The following is a 1590-nucleotide window of genomic DNA, read 5'->3' on the forward strand; positions in this document are numbered from 1 at the left end:
TCCTGATAAATCTCAACCTCACTGCCAGCCTCTCCACAGGCTCTTGGTGTCTTTAAAAAGCCACACAATATTATTTTATCTAAACAAGCAACTTGCTCTAAACCTGAAGCCAACCAAGAAAACATAAAACCCGAATACTAACATAACAAAGTTTTATTTTGAGATTCTTTTTTACATCTTTTAAAAGCAAGGTGTAGTACATGCTTATTATAACACAAAACATGACAAGCAAATAGTACAGGAACCTATTACATAGAAAGTGAAATTCCCTGTTTCCTTTCCTCTCTCTCCCATCTCCCATCAATCCCTCTTTCTAGAATTAACTACCATTTATTTGGTTTGCATCCTTTTGGGTCTGTTCCATGCATTACTCAGACATTTACATTACATGCATTTAACTCTTTTTTATACATATGAGCTGATACTGATGCATTCTTCTGAAACCTGCTTTTTTCATTTAATATAATGTGATAATGTGGTCACCTCTCCATGTCTATGCATACGTATTTACTTCCTCACCTTTAGTTAATGCATATTATTCCATAGTACAAAGGTACTTCCAGTTTTTTAACCAGTCCTCTGTTGATGGCATTTAGACCATTTCCACTTTTTCACTGCCACAAACAACATTGCAATTACCATCTTTTATGTACTGATAATTCTGCAAAATCACCCTCTGAAAAGATTGTAACAATTTACACTTCTTCATGATGAGCACAGTAGAAATCTTTCCCTTGCTTCTGGAAAGCCATTAATCGACTCCACTTTAAGAAATGCAGGAGGCAGAAGGTTGCCAACGCAAGCTGCATGTCCCTTCTGTCTATTCAGAATGGAACTGCCTGTTCTCACTGGGCTTGGGTGTGGTCCCTTTGTCTTGCAATATGCAAGCTGGAGCCCAGTCCTTGGCATGCTCTCCCAGCTGCCAGGTGTGAGGACCTGCCCTCAGTGCACAGGAGGCAGGCTCAGCTTACATGGTGATAAGGTCTCATTCACAGAGAAGCAGGCTTCACTCACATGGGATCAGGCTTCACCCACATGGAACCAGGCTTCACACACATGGAATCAGGCTTCATTCACATGGTAATCAGGCTTCACTCATATGGGATCAGGCTTCACTCACATGGAACCAGGCTTCACCCACATGGAACCAGTCTTCATTCACATGGTAATCAGGCTTCATCATGTGGGATCAGCCTTCATTCACATGGGATCAGCCTTCATTCACATGATGATCAGGCTTCACTCACATGGAGTCAGCCGTCAATCACATGGGATCAGGTTTCACTCACATGGAATCAGGCTTCACTCACATGATGATCAGGCTTCACTCACATGATGATCAGGCTTCACTCACATGGAGTCAGCCGTCAATCACATGGGATCAAGTTTCACTCACATGGAATCAGGCTTCACTCACATGATGATCAGGCTTCACTCACATGATGATCAGGCTTCACTCACATGGAATCAGGCCTCAGTCACATGGGAACCACTGTAGGATCAGGTTTCACCCACATGGGGTCAGGCGTGGCTCACATGGTGATCAGAGTTTGCAGTGTTTCTGCTTCTGCTGCCCCATGACTATCTCGA

The 1590-nt window shown here is 43.0% G+C and overlaps 1 non-coding gene across 1 annotated transcript; it reads right to left on the reverse strand.

The window, feature by feature from the left end:
• Positions 1 to 1299: 1299 nt before the first annotated feature.
• Positions 1300 to 1387, reverse strand: MIR8070 (microRNA 8070). The gene has a single exon (NR_107037.1). It is a non-coding gene; the product is annotated as a microRNA 8070 (primary transcript).
• Between the last annotated feature and the right edge of the window lie 203 nt (positions 1388 to 1590).

The sequence above is a fragment of the Homo sapiens genome, chromosome 11, assembly GCF_000001405.40.
Source record: "Homo sapiens chromosome 11, GRCh38.p14 Primary Assembly".
Classification (NCBI taxonomy): Eukaryota; Metazoa; Chordata; class Mammalia; order Primates; family Hominidae; genus Homo; species Homo sapiens.